This window comes from Homo sapiens, chromosome 6 (genome assembly GCF_000001405.40).
Source record: "Homo sapiens chromosome 6, GRCh38.p14 Primary Assembly".
Lineage (NCBI taxonomy): Eukaryota > Metazoa > Chordata > Mammalia > Primates > Hominidae > Homo > Homo sapiens.
The window spans coordinates 166,650,577-166,664,637 of NC_000006.12; the positions used below are offsets into that span (position 1 = coordinate 166,650,577).

A 14,061-nucleotide genomic window follows, 5' to 3' on the forward strand; every position below is an offset into this window, starting at 1 on the left:
ATGACTGTTCAGGCCTGTGTCCTGCCTTCACTAGGGCCAGCCAGCGGCATCCATATTTTTGCAGTGTTGTATGTGAGGGTGAACTGAGTCAGGCTTGCCCAAGTAGGTGGCATTCTGCTGGTTCAGGAAAACTCAAATTGTTGGCTTCAAGTTCACTTGGTTCTCTCTCTGTCTCCAGTCCTGGCTGAAATTCTAAGTGATTTTTTACTTCTGGAGCCATCTGTAAGAAAGGCTCTTCTTGGAACCCTGAAGACTGCAGGTCTCGTTTGGGCAGGTGAGAGGGATTTGAGGTGACTGAACAGAACCCATGAGGCTCAAGGTGGTTGGGTTTAATACTTTGAACCTGAACATAGGAATAGATCACTTTTTAAAATTGTTTTCAGCACCTAAAATTATGGCCATGGACAGCTCCATGCAAAGGTCCCCTGACTACAAGGACCTGCCCCGTGATGTGGTTGTGTTACCCAGACCCTGCCTGTCCAGCTGTGGAAGCCAGGCTGTCAATCCGAAAATGTCAGCGCCTTGCTCAGATCACTCCAGTGTGTGAGGATCACAATTTAGATAAGAACCCAGATTTCTTGGTTTAAAATTGGTATTTTCTACTTTATCTCATACTTATATCATATATATATAATTTGGTAAAAAGCAGAACATATTCTCTACTTCTAGAGGCTCCATCTGCAAGCATTTGTACAATTCAGCAAGTACAGAAAAGTGTTGGATCATGTGGGCAGCAATTCAAAGATTTTTTTAACCAAATTATGCAATTATCTCAATGCACAGGATTATGTAAGAGTATCTAAAAAACAGGTTATTACAAGCAATAAAGTCAGAGATTTGCAGTTGATTGGTTTTCTATGTATTTCTAAACTTGGCAATGGGTTTGTAATACCCAGTGGGCTCTTTTGTTGCTTAGCTTAACGTTTTTCAGAAGTAGACAATTCTTCACGGGAAGACAACGGAAATCCAAGGAAAGCTACGAAGGCTGTTATCAGAGAAAAATTTCCTCGAAGCACTTTAGCTGTCACTTTGAAGTGTTAGTGACATCCTTTGGCAGTGATTAAATGTGCCACATGCCACTAATCTTGTTTAGAATCCTTAAAGAGGACAGCAGCCCTTACACAGGATGCTTCGATCTGATGACGATGGTGTTTATGCAGTGATGTGTGGCTCACAGGCACGTATACAACACCATCAACTCTTCCATCTCATACCTCATCAGAGCTTTCCATCTGATCCCATTTGGAGAAGGATATCACACCTGAGGAATCCACGTGTAAGCTATTGCTCTTGTATGAGTTCAGGTGCACACGCACTGTGGACGCACACTGCACTGTGCCCCCCAACGGCTGACAACGTGGAGCCGGGATGCAGGAGCATCCGCCTTCTCCAAGTGAGTTCTCGGCACTGCCGTGCTTTCACTAACCCTTTATTTACTTCTGCTAGTAGACTTTCAACGCCACTGAGTGCTAGAAGAATTTAAGAATGTTAAAATAGATATGATGAGAATACTGTTTTTTGAACATCTTCACATATGAAGAGTAAAAGTCAGAGGATAGAGCTTCGGATTATCTCATAGAAGAAAAACACCTTCGCATTACATGTGGCATGAGCCATTCGCGGGTATTATATCTTCTTCATTTGCTATTGTTTTCTTTTAAAGCATCTCACCAAGCACTCGCTTCACTGTGCATTTTATATTCTGGTTTTATTTCCCAGTTCACAATTTTATTCAGAATCTTAAATTAACTGTCCTTGGGAAGTATACAACTAGTTTTACCCAAAGGATGGCTGAAAATGCATTGTCTTCAACACAAGATAAATTAACCTGTTTTCCTTGCGATGTTTCCCATGAGGAGTTTGATCGTTTGCACCTTATTCTCTTCGGGGAACTTAGGAAAAACCACATGGAGGTTGTCTTCTCGATGGCGCAACCATGAACTGGACACGTTTCTTGACTTAATCAAGTTATGTCCTATTTTTGCCCGTATTGATCTTTATGTCACTGAAAGCCAATGTGTACATTTGTCAGTGTCAGAGCACCCTCTGACCAACTCAACTCTGATCTCTTGTTGTTAAAATCCCACCCGGTGACCTGCTTGGGTTCCCCCAGCTAGGCGAGAGTTGAGTCCTTAGTAATTTCAGGCGGGGCCCAGAGATCATGGAAGAGATGCGGGTAGTGGTGAATCGTACCGAGATTTTCAAGCTCCATCTTAATCAGTGTAGAATAATGGAAGCTTTTTTAAATTCAGCAGGCAAGCACTATAATTAAACTCGCATGTCATCAATATTCCATCAGGGTGCAACTCAGCCGCCTGTCTCCCTGCCTCGTGCCTTGGGTGGCTGGGCTGTCTTCATCATGCTGGGCCCAGCAGCAGGCTATTTGCCAGGGCACCCACTGTGGACACTCTGCCTTCCCAGGGTAGCCCCGGGCCACAGAACCTGCCACTAGGCATTGCCCATTATTCCATTTTTCTCTCCTAATGATTTTCTGTTGTTGTTCAGAGGGAGTCTCGTTCTGTCTCCCAGGCTGGAGTGTAGTGGCATGATCTTGGCTCACTGCAACCTCCACCTCCTGGGTTCAAGCAATTCTCGTGCCTCAGCCTCCCAAGTAGCTGGGATTACAGGCATGTGCCACCATGCCCGACTAATTTTTGTATGTTTAGTAGAGACAGGGTTTCACCATGTTGGCCAGGCTGGTCTCCAACTTCTGGCCTCATGTAATCCGCCCGCCTCAGCCTCCCAAAGTGCTGGGATTACAGGCGTGAGCCGCCCTGCCTGGCCCTAATAATGTTTTTAAGGAGGTGAATAATTCCCATCGACTTAACTCATCCCAGAGATTTAGGTCCAGCAGAGCCAGGCCCACACAGTTATTGAATCAGACACGAGAAGACGGAATCGACATGGCAATCAGCATTTAGACAGGCTACTAAGTGCTGCCATCAATCACCTTCTCTTCCCAGAAAAGTACAGATGTCTCCCTGGATTTCTTACTAATAACCAGAAATACAGCTGTCCAGGCCCTGCACATATTTTGTATCACTTGATAAAAATAGCTAATAGCATTCTATCTGTGACTCCTGGTTTATCTCATAAACTAAATGGATGGAAAAGAGAAAGGAATGCTACTTGAAATCCCATCTCAGCGGCACATGAATTCCAGGTAGCGGCTCCCTGGTTACAGGACAGAAGTAAGTGAAGTAGCACACACAAGAGAAATATCGGAAAACAGAAAATAACTTCTAGAGGAATAATTTGTTGCACAAAATGCAAACAAAACATGTTCATTAATACGTTTTATTTAAACATATTTTCAAATGCTTACAATTGTGGATTTTAGGAGGCTGTGCAAAAATCATGAATATTTTTAATCTGTCTTAACAGGCTTCTCTCCCACCTCTCACTGTGATACTGAGCAGAACTCCCCAAAGAAAAATCATTTCTCAACTGTGAAACTAGGGAAGACTAACCAGATGTGATAGCACACTGTATTCTGATCGAAAGTGAACTATTCTTCCATCATATTGGTCAAGCTTTCAAAAACACTTACCTATACTTCAGGGCGAAAGATTCTCAGCATCCTCTAACAAATGTTTGCCTCAGAACCATTGAAAAGAAAAGGTTTAGAATTAATGACAGAGAACAATGTACCCACAGCTGCATTTTGCTCTTTTGAAAATTAGATATTTTTCTGCAGATAATACTACAGAACCACAATAAAAGTTATCATCATGCTTCACATCTAGTAATGAACGTGAAACAAGCACCCTCGAATAGCTGCATCGAGCATGAAAGGGCACGGGCCCCACTGCCGGCCGGGTGAATTCTAGACGGGCCCCACTGCCAGCCGGGTGAATTCTAGCAGATACTTCACCCAAAATGCTTCAGTGTGCATCAAACTGACACGAGCTCCTACACAATCACAATATAATTTACTCGCCTGAGAGATTCAGTACACAATGTCCCCAGTTTCCCCCCAATATCCTTAAACTGATTTATTCTGCACAATTCCATCACAAAGTTTTTCACTTATTTGTCGAATCTCAACAGTATTCTTGAATGAAGTATCCTCCAGTTTTTGTTGCTGTTTAGACATTTACATTTATGAACAAAGAGTTCAGGGCAGCTGCTCTGTAGAATGTTTCATAGTCTGGACTGATTTCGTGGTTTCTTCATAATTAGATTAGGGTAAAATATTTTTAGCTGCTGTACATCACGTTAGGAGACCTGTCATGTCAACTTGCACCATTGTGGGAGACACTCGCTTCTGCCTGCCGGGTCGCCTTTGTGAAGATAACCTTTCCCATCGTAATTAATAAGTAGGATGTGGGGCAATAGCTCCTCAACCTTTCCCCTCATGGCTTTAGCACTTATAAAAAATGTAAAAAAAAATATCAGGTGTCCATTTTCAAGGCTGAGGGTGGGGGAAGAATCTAATTAACTTTGAACAGCACCTGGATGGCAGAATCCCTCTAGACACTGACAACCCACCGCAACCCCAAACTTTACAACTATTTCACCCAACTCTTTTCAACAGAAGTTCTCATTTTTGTTCATATATATTGAATATTTCCAAACTATTCAATTTACCTTCCACAGAAATTGCTCCTTTTTATTACTCAAAGTTCATCGGATCATAGTAATTAATGATCATACTTCAGTGTATCTAGGGTAAGACTGACTACAAGGTACATCAGTAGTTTACATGCCCTACAGGAAGAAAACACCAAGGACACATAACAAGCATCACTGCACCACCCACAACTGATGTTGGTGACAACGTGCAGACACAATATTTGCACCCGGAGTCAGTGAAATGTGGTGAATGATGTCATGTGTGCAAAGTAGTACAAACAGGTCAGGGAACAAACAGAGCGGACTCCTGGGAACCACGTGTATCTCCAGTGGCTGCCAACTCAGGCCGGTCTGCAGAGGATTCTGCCACAGCCTGGGCTGGAGGCTACACACCTGGCTGGTGGATCTGAGACAGAGCAGGGCGGGTAACTGAAGACCAGGCTGGAAAGGTTCTAGCTTCACATAAGGTACCAAATAAAAAATTAAAACTCTCCATCAGAACCAAGATGCATATGTCTTTCTTGTTATAATTCAAAATATCTCATAGCTAGTAAGATCTTACTGACTATAAAAGGTTGGAAACACATGAAGCAGCCAGGACTCCCACACTGGGCTGGCGAGAGTGTGAACGGGCGCCACCAGTTTGGAAAACAACAATCTCATCAGGTTGAAGATGTGCAGGCCCACGGCTCAGCGACTCCACCTCAGGACTACATGGAGCAGAGCCCCAGCAGGTGCACTCGGAGACACGCCCAGGAATACCTGTAGCTGTCTTTGCAGGATAGCCACACGCCAGAAGTCACCACAATCTCTAGCAATGGTGGAAGGAACAGGCGCCCTGCGGTAGATACACGTGGCAGAACACTACACAACAGTGAGCATGGGCTGCCTGAGTGTGCACAGCACACACCTCTAAACACAGGGGAAGCTCACGCCTAGAACCGTGAACAAAGGAAGAGAGACACGGTGGAAGCTCACCGAGAGCTTCTTATTTACATAAGCCTCAAAAACAGGTAAAACACAGCTTATTGCTTAGAAAATGCTACATGGGTAAAGATATAAAGAAAACAAGGAAATCATTGACAGAGGGGTCTGGCGTTAGCGGTCTCTGAGAGGAGATGAAAGGGAGGGAGGGGAGAGGCAGGGAAGAAGAAGAAGGGGGAGGAGAGAAACAAGAGAGGGAGTGGGCAGGACGATGGTCTGGGAAATGCTCTTCGCCCCAACCCAAAGGCGTCTTCCTCTGTGAAGGGTTGGGCGGGGGTGGAACTCGGTTCACCCCAGGGGCCTCCCCTGCCCTGCCTGAGTGGTGTGGCTCGGACACAGGGGCATCTCCCCACAGGCCTGTGCCTCCTGAATGAGGAACAGCCATTCCCCTCCAGCAGGGCCTCGGCAGGTGGGCCCGGCAGGTGCTCCCGTGACTCTGCCTCCGCCTCCAGCCCTGGTCTCTGGGATGCGAAGATGGATGGAAAGACCATATGAAGCAGCCCCGATTTCCCGGAGCTCCCAGCTGAGGTCGCATTCATCCACACAGGCAACAGAAGCAAGTGCAGCACTGCGCGGTTCACCTGCTGTGGGAACGGCAGGCCAGAATTCCCTGTGGAAAAGGGAGGATGGGAAGGGCCCCGATCCCCAGCCCCTGGCTCAGGTAGGTGCCATCGCCTCCCAGGGCCGTTGTCCAGATTCACCGCGGTGCATGTGAAAGCCCGGGCAAACAGATGGTGCCCAATTAACAGAACTATTCTTGCGGCACTGGGGTTTGGTGAGACTCTCTCTGACTCAGAGAAATGACGCAGGATGGCCACTCTGTCCTTGGGGCCCCAAGCCTAGAATCTGAGTCTCTGACTCCCTGCCAGAACCTGGTCGAGACCTTGAACTCTCCTAGCTGCTTCCTCACCCAGGAAACGGGAAGAGCCCCACCCCCAACACAGAGACGGTGGGGAGCAGGGCTGGAGCTGCGGAGCACCAGCCGCACCTGGCGCCAGGTCCCAGGAGCCACACGAGGAAAAGGAGAACTTCATCATGGGCTAGGAAACCCACTGCCTGGGCGGGCGAGGGCATTTCTTTCTGTTTGGAAACACACAGAATAACAAGCAAAGTTAGATAAGGGAATGAGAGTCCTTGTGAGGGGTAAATCAGTGTTAGATGATAATTGTCCTGCTTTTGACGATTTTCTAAAAACAAAACAGAACAAAAAAAAAAACTTTAGGGAAGCTTTAAACAGATACGAGAGAAAAGTGTCTTATTTTCAACGACAAAAATGAAAGTAAATTCACCAAAAGATGGTACAGATGAAGCTCAAATATTTATGATAACAACATTCCTTGGTTGTAGAAAAAGAGGAATACGTCCTCATTGCCTGAAACTAACGACACGGAACCCTTGTGGGAACCAGGGGAGGGAGGTGTTGGTGAGCAGTTATTATGATGGTTAATTTAGGAAGTTGTAGGAAGGTTCTGCAGAGCATTCGACAGATGATTAAAAGGACAGGAGCCGGACATCTGGGCCTTGTGGTTTCTAAGGAGAGTGTGCTAGGCGTTGGAAGGAGAAGAACGGGAAGAGGCTGAGCCCTGGTGCCAATTTGCCTCAGAGGTGCAGGCAGATTTCGCTCACTTGAGAGCAGGGCGAGTTCTGCTTTTGAGGCCAGAAGTCATACAAATGCGGACAAGAGGCCTGAAGACCGAAAACCTGAACTGCAGATGTGTTTCTGCAGAAAACCTGGCTGGGAGGAATTCACTTTTCTTTCTTTTTTTGAGACGGAGTCTCACCCTGTCACCCAGGCTGGAGTGCAGTGGCGAGATCTCGGCTCACCGCAACTTCCACCTCCCCGGTTCAAGCGAGTCTCATGGCTCAGCCTCCCAAGTAGCTGGGATACAGGCATGTGCCACCATGCCTGGCTAATTTTGCATTTTTAGTAGAGATGGTGTTTTTCCATGTTGGTCAGGCTGGTCTTAAACTCCCGACCTCAGGTGATTCGCCCACCTCGGCCTCCCAAAGTGCTGAGAGTACAGGCATGAGCCACTGTGGCCAGCCCAGGATTTTTTACTCCTGGGCGTGATTTGTGTTGGGGGTGGCACCAAGTTGATGGCCTCGGTGAGGAAGCAGGGTCAGCCCTGCTGAGCCCAGGGTGCATCCGTGACTATGCTGAACGCTGCATGTGATGCCCGACAGCCCTGTGCACAGCCTTGGCCCACTGTACGCAGAGATCACAAGGCTTCCCGAGCCAAACCCTTCAGGATCTCACAGCTGCGGAGCTGGTCGCCGTGTCACTCAGCTGTCAGCTGCTCTCTCCTTCTCTGGTGTTTCATGGATACTTCACTTTATGCAAATCCCACAAATGACACAAGGCAGGGGTGGGACAGCATCGGGGGTCAGAGACCACTTCAAAACCACGCACTGAAAACTTTTCAGACAAGGCCAGACTACTTGATAAAAGTCATCTTCCATGTCAGGATGTACCGGGACACCCTGGCAGAGCCAGCCCAGGGCACGGGGAGTAGGAGACACTGATAATGATAAAAACATGCGGGATGGGAGTGCCAGGGTTCGCCTGTGCAATTCAAGAGTGGTTTGTGGTGTTGAAGTTGGCAATTCTGACCTTCATCTGTGCAAGGGAAACTTGTTGAACTATTTAAGTCCGAGAAACTTAAGGCCCTAAACCCTCCGTGTTCCTCAACGGCATCACTAGAGAGACTCTCTCTGGAACTCGCCCCTGCTCTGTACAAGACACATGGGTCAGCATGGGGTGAGGAGAGCTCTGGGCAAAGGGCAGACATGCTGGGAACCCGCCCCGACACGTGACTGAGTAATTAGATACCCCGACCAATGACATCCACAGGCTTCCCCAGAATCATACATGCTTCTCCGGTAAACTGTGGTCCCAGTGACCCTTGGGAGGTAAGAAGCTCCCCACAACACCCCCCCTTTTGTGGCGCTTACATGGGGATCACAGAGTCACCAACTGACTGTGCAAATTGGACAGGTGTCCAAAATGAAGCACTAATGAGCATGAAGAAAATGAGCATGAAGTCAGACAGGCTAAAAAAAATTAAGACAAAAAGTGCCATTTCCCAATTTCAGCCCTATTAATTAAAAACCAAAATTAAAACTGTGTGGAATCGCTCATTATGTTTTTAAATTAAACACAGGCTGACAAAACTAATTGCACTAACAGTCTCCCCCAGCTGTTCCCTGCTGACCTCTGCACAGTTCTGGAAGGCTCTGGGTGAGGGGTGGCCGGGGAGGGGAGAGGGGGCCATCCTCAGGAAGACGATCGTGCAGGACAGAGCCAAGGCCACTCAGGGAGGATGGCTTTTGTTGCTTTTACTTCACTAACCTGGAAAGAAAGTATTTGCTTCCAAATTTTGTCTTGTTTTCCAAACAGAGGCTGTAGCCATAAATATGCATCTTATTGAACATCTACTCTGTGCAAGGCATAGTAGGTTATCAATCATTCCAGGGAGTGGAGCGTAAGGAGAAGGAGAGTCATCTGGCACCAAGAACTCAGAGCTGGGGGAGTCTGTAGTTATTTTTAGTGCTGCCACTGGTCAGTGGACACGGGTGGGAGCCAGCGCTGGACGGCGTGGTGGCTTGACGTCCTTTGCCCAGGCTGGCCCTGCCGCCGTACAGCTCTAGCACCGACTGCGGGATGGGGGACCAGCGAACCTCGGGAGCCCACTCCCTCAGTGACAGCATGCGGTGGTAGCTGCTCTTATCTCACTGGCTGGTTGTAAGAATCCAAGTAAATTAAGAATGTTTAAGAACTAATACATTTTTTGTATTTTTTTTTTTTTAGACACAAGGTCTCTATGTTGCCCAGTCTGACCTTGAACTCCAGAGTTCAAGTAATCCTCCCAGCTCAGCCTCCCAGCGTGTTGTGCTCACAGGCGTGAGCCACCACACCTGGCCAATAATTAATTCTATAAACTGGAAAGTGTTAAACAAACATTTCCCATTAGGAGAACTGAGGAATTTTAAACTCTGTTTTACTTTTTTTCCACTACTTTCAATAGCTCATTGTTTCATAAATTAGATGGATACATGATGCCACTTTTTAAAACTAAAGAATCCATAATTGTACTGCCCATAAGTAATCAGTGCTATTGTTCTGGTCCATTTTTTCTAATGTGTAAGTCTGCCTCCTGTATCTCATTGTGTGTGTGCATGTGTGTGTGTGTGCATGTGTGTGTGTGCGGGTTGGTGTGTGCGTGCGTGTGTGCATGTGTGTGCATGTGTATGGGCATGCGTGCGTGTGTGTGTGTGTGTGTGTGTGTGAGAGAGAGAGAAGAAGGGAGGGAGGAGAGAGATTACTGAACAAATATTTGAGTGTCTGCCTGTCACACAAGACATCATGCCAGGCATAGCCTTCCTAGGGACACAGTGACAACCAAGATAAACACAGCTCCTGCCTCATAAGGATAAATTCTATTTGAAGAAACATAAAGTGAATAATTACCTACACAATTAATAGTGTAATCACAAAAAGGATCAGTATTTCAAAGAATCATTTGGGTTACATGAGAGTGTGTAACAGAACACCCACCAAACAGCCTTTACAGTATGTGCTGTTCTTGAGCCCAATCTCTTCCCTTAGTGCTGTCTAGCAGGCGTTTCCTCGGGTTTTCTGACGGCTGCATAATATCCTCTTTACCTGGGTGGCATGGTTTGACTACTCCCCCATTGATGGATTTTTTTTTAAATAAAAAATAACAGCACAGAGCATTCATGAACGTAAATCGTGAGTTAATTCCTTATGGTTTGCTTAAAATGCGTTCCTGCAAATTGGAGTACTGAGTTAAAAGTCATAAAAATTTTGAGGTTAATGAGACATATGTCAACTTGCTTTGTAAAAGGGTGAACCAATCCATAATCTTACCTCGTGTTTCTCAAATAATGCCTGTTAACATTAAGTATTGCCCTTTAAAAACTGCCAATTTGTATGGCCAAAATCTTTTTCTTTTTGTTGTTGTTGAGACAGGCTCTCGCTCTGTCGCCCAGCCTGGAGTGCAGTGGTGCGATCTCAGCTCACTACAACCCCTGCCTCCTGGATTCAAGCGATTCTCCTGCCTCAGCCTGCTAAGTAGCTGGGATCACAGGTGCCCATCATCACGCATGGCTAATTTTTGCATTTTTAATAGAGACAGGGTTTACCACGTTGGCCAGGCTGGTCTCAAACTCCTAAACTCAGGCGATCCGCCCGCCTCGGCCTCCCCAAGTTCTAGGATTATAGGCATGAGCCACCGCTGTATGGCCAAAATCTTTTACTATTTTAATTTGCATTTATTTGATTAGTAGTCATGTTTAAAATATTTGATGGCTGTTTGTATTATTTTTCTATTTGTAAATTATGTCCGAGTCCTTTGCCTCATTTTTCCTATTGCAGAGTCAGCAATTTTCTTATTGTTTTCTAAGAGTTTTTGGTATATGACTGAATTAACTTTTTATCATAGTCTCCCTATATAATAAATATAAAATCTACATTTATATTTTCTAGTCTATTTGCCTTATCATTTTTAAATTTTGACATATTAATAGTTTTCAATATTTTAGTAAGTCAAATCGAATAGCTTCTTTTTTTGTGAGATTTTCTTTCCTTTGCATGCATGCTTACAAAGCCTTTTCTCTTTCTGAAATCGGTTAAATATTCTAGAGTATTTTGTCTTTTTTTATAATTCAGTTATTTTTATTTGACTGTGGCCCATCTGGAAGTTGTTTTCGAGTACACTATGAAGGGAGGAGCTTCTTTACCCATAGCCAACTTTCCCACATGTTGTATTGAATCGTACATATCTCTCCCTTTATAACACAGTACATATTGAAGAACTATTTCAGGATGTTTTACTCCAGTTCAATTCCTCGTTAACACAAATTCTTAACGGGACTAGTGAGAATCCCTGCTTTGTTCCTGATTTAATGGGACAGTATTAAGTGAGTAAAGATAGGGGTTGTTTATCATATTATGAATATTTCTTAATTTTTACCTACTTAATATTTTAAAATCAGAAACTGTCTAAAATGTTATCAAATTATTCTTTTTAATCTTTGAAGATTATCGTAGGTGTTGAATTCTCTGCTTCATGTACCTTTAATTCACTGGTATTCTTTTTTCTGGGATATTGCCATTGTAAGATTTGGCTGCTATTACGGGGTGACAGTCTTTTCAGTAAGGTAATTTAGCTATCCATTGGCAGGCAAAGGACGTATTTGATGCAGGGGTGGTAAGAGATGGGTTGGCGCAGGAGGTATGAAAACTTACTCCAAATTACAGACACTTTAGATATCTGCTTTCTTTGGGGACGTAAGAACAGCTCTGCTTGCAAATCCAATGCCTATGTTACAGGAGTGCAGTTTTATGTTTGGAAAGAGTCTCTTAGCATTATGAGGGTTATTTATGTTATGAACACCAGTTAGTTTGCACCAGTTCCAGGAAAGAGATTCAATATGAAAATATGGACACAGATTCAGATATAGTGTTGGGAGTATATGAATTTGACTTGTGTATCATATACCTGGATTCTCTGGTTTAGCTTGTAAACCCAATATTTCATCATAATCCAGTAAACCAAATTAACTATTATGGACTGAATTGTGTGCTCTCCAAATTCATATGTTGAAGTCCTAACCTCTGGTACTTAGACTGTGACTGTGTGGAGAGAGGACCTTTCAAAGGGGAATTCCATTAAATGAGGCCTCGGAGTGGGTGCTTATCCGCTCTGACTGCTGTCCTTAGAAGAAGAGGAAGTCTGAATACGCAGAGACACCGGGGCCGCCTCTGTGTATGGAGGAACGGCCACGCGAGGACAGGGAGGAGGCGCCATCTGCAAGCAAGAGGAGAGCCACGGAAGACACCAGCCCCACCAAGACCTCGAACTGGGCTTCAAGCCTCCAGAACTGAGAGACATTAAGGGTCTGCTGTTTGAACTGCCCAGTCTACTTCTAAAAGGATGAACCAATCCATTGTTAGGGGAGCCTGAGCAGACTAATATGTTAACAGAAAACTGAGCTGTCTCTACTGCTTCTCTCATCAAAGATCAGAATTGAAAGGTGGCCAAGAAACAAAAACCAATAGATAATCTTCCTACTGTATCATCCCAGAAGGCAAGGATGAAAATCTTCACTCAGGTCAGCTTTGCTCTACCCAAGGGCTATTAAATGCAGCTGGAAAAGAGAGCTCCCAGGAGGGCAGAAAAACCTGCGAGTGACAATGAACGTGAATCTCATAGTGCTCTGCAGCCCACCCCAGCCCCCAGAACCCAGGCTTTGCACCCTGAGAAAGCACAAAGCACAGTCCACTTCTCTACTGAGAGCGGGTTCTCCACCACGGCCAAGGAGTTCTTCAGGGAAGATGCTACTCTGTGAGTGGCTGGATAGAAAAATATAAACAGGGTTATTCCCCTCTTTGGGTCTTTGGTTTGTCCCTTCTCCAAAAGGAATACCTTATTTTCCCCAACAGCGTGGCTTCCTGTCGAATAACTATTCCTACCATCCCTCTAAGAACATGCAACAGGGGAAAACACCTGCTGGGAAGCTGCCGCCAGAGGCCCCACCCTATCCCGGAAGGGCCTTAGAGGAAGGAAGTTGGGGAGGAGGAGGAGGGTCAGGGTGGATGGGAGGATGAACACAGCAACTGCTGGGACACAGGCTTCGGCGCTGCACCCACCTGGAGCTGACAGTCAAGCCTCACTTGATGTTAAAGAAAGAGGAAATATGGTATCAGAAAGAGCATGAGGGTAAATGGCAAGACCTGAGTTTAAGTTCAAAATTGATTATTAGCTGTGGGACTCCACAAACCACTTAGACTTGAGATGTCTCTGTTTTATTATCTGTAAAGCAGGGCCACCTCTACCCATCTCATAGGTTTTCTGACAGTTCAGTCATGGTTGAAAGTGCTTTATAAACATTAAGTGTCATAGAGGAAATTTGTTAGAAGCGTTAATAACTTATGTGTCCATCTGCACATTGCACATAGGATAGGCCATTCTTTTTAGCATTGCCTTTGCAATTGATTTAATTTCCCAAGCTCTGTTCACCTTCTGAGACCATAACAAACATTACCCTGAAGTTTCTGTTTCCATTTCCATTGGTCCCACTCTAAGTGAACCTTGGCAATCAAAAGGGCATCATCATCCCTCCTTCTACTGAGCCCAGTGAGCTCACAGCTGGAACGCTGCTCCACGGGACTGAAAGTAAACACTTTAAGTTTCCGGGTGATAACTGTTGGTCATGGTCAATGTCAGCACACTCATTTAAGAGGCGCATTTTCTTGGAACCACTCACTGAAATATACACTCAACACCAAATGTGAGCTTCAGAAGATATTTTAAGGGCATCAGGAAGATGAAACTGTGCCTGCCCCTTGCGGCATGGAGGAATCCACACACACACAAACATTTCTACACACTCACACTTGTATTCTGCTTCTGTGTGTTTACATGTTGTTTCTTGTAAGAATAGAGATTGCAAAGCTCAACTTAAAAAATATTGAATGGT

At 45.2% G+C, this 14,061-nt stretch overlaps 1 protein-coding gene across 6 annotated transcripts in view, besides 1 other annotated feature; it reads right to left on the reverse strand.

Annotated features, from left to right (window-relative positions):
- The window catches only part of RPS6KA2 (ribosomal protein S6 kinase A2), a 453,410-nt gene that overhangs the window by 241,213 nt on the left and 198,136 nt on the right, over positions 1-14,061 (reverse strand). The gene's annotated exons all lie outside the window — the stretch shown is intronic.
- Positions 4,846-5,400: an enhancer, noted in NCBI's record as "H3K4me1 hESC enhancer chr6:167068910-167069464 (GRCh37/hg19 assembly coordinates)". NCBI's record gives its function as "activates a minimal SCP1, AML or CMV promoter by ChIP-STARR-seq in naive H9 embryonic stem cells {active_cell/tissue: H9 hESC(naive)}" and the evidence as "EXISTENCE:reporter gene assay evidence [ECO:0000049][PMID:30033119]".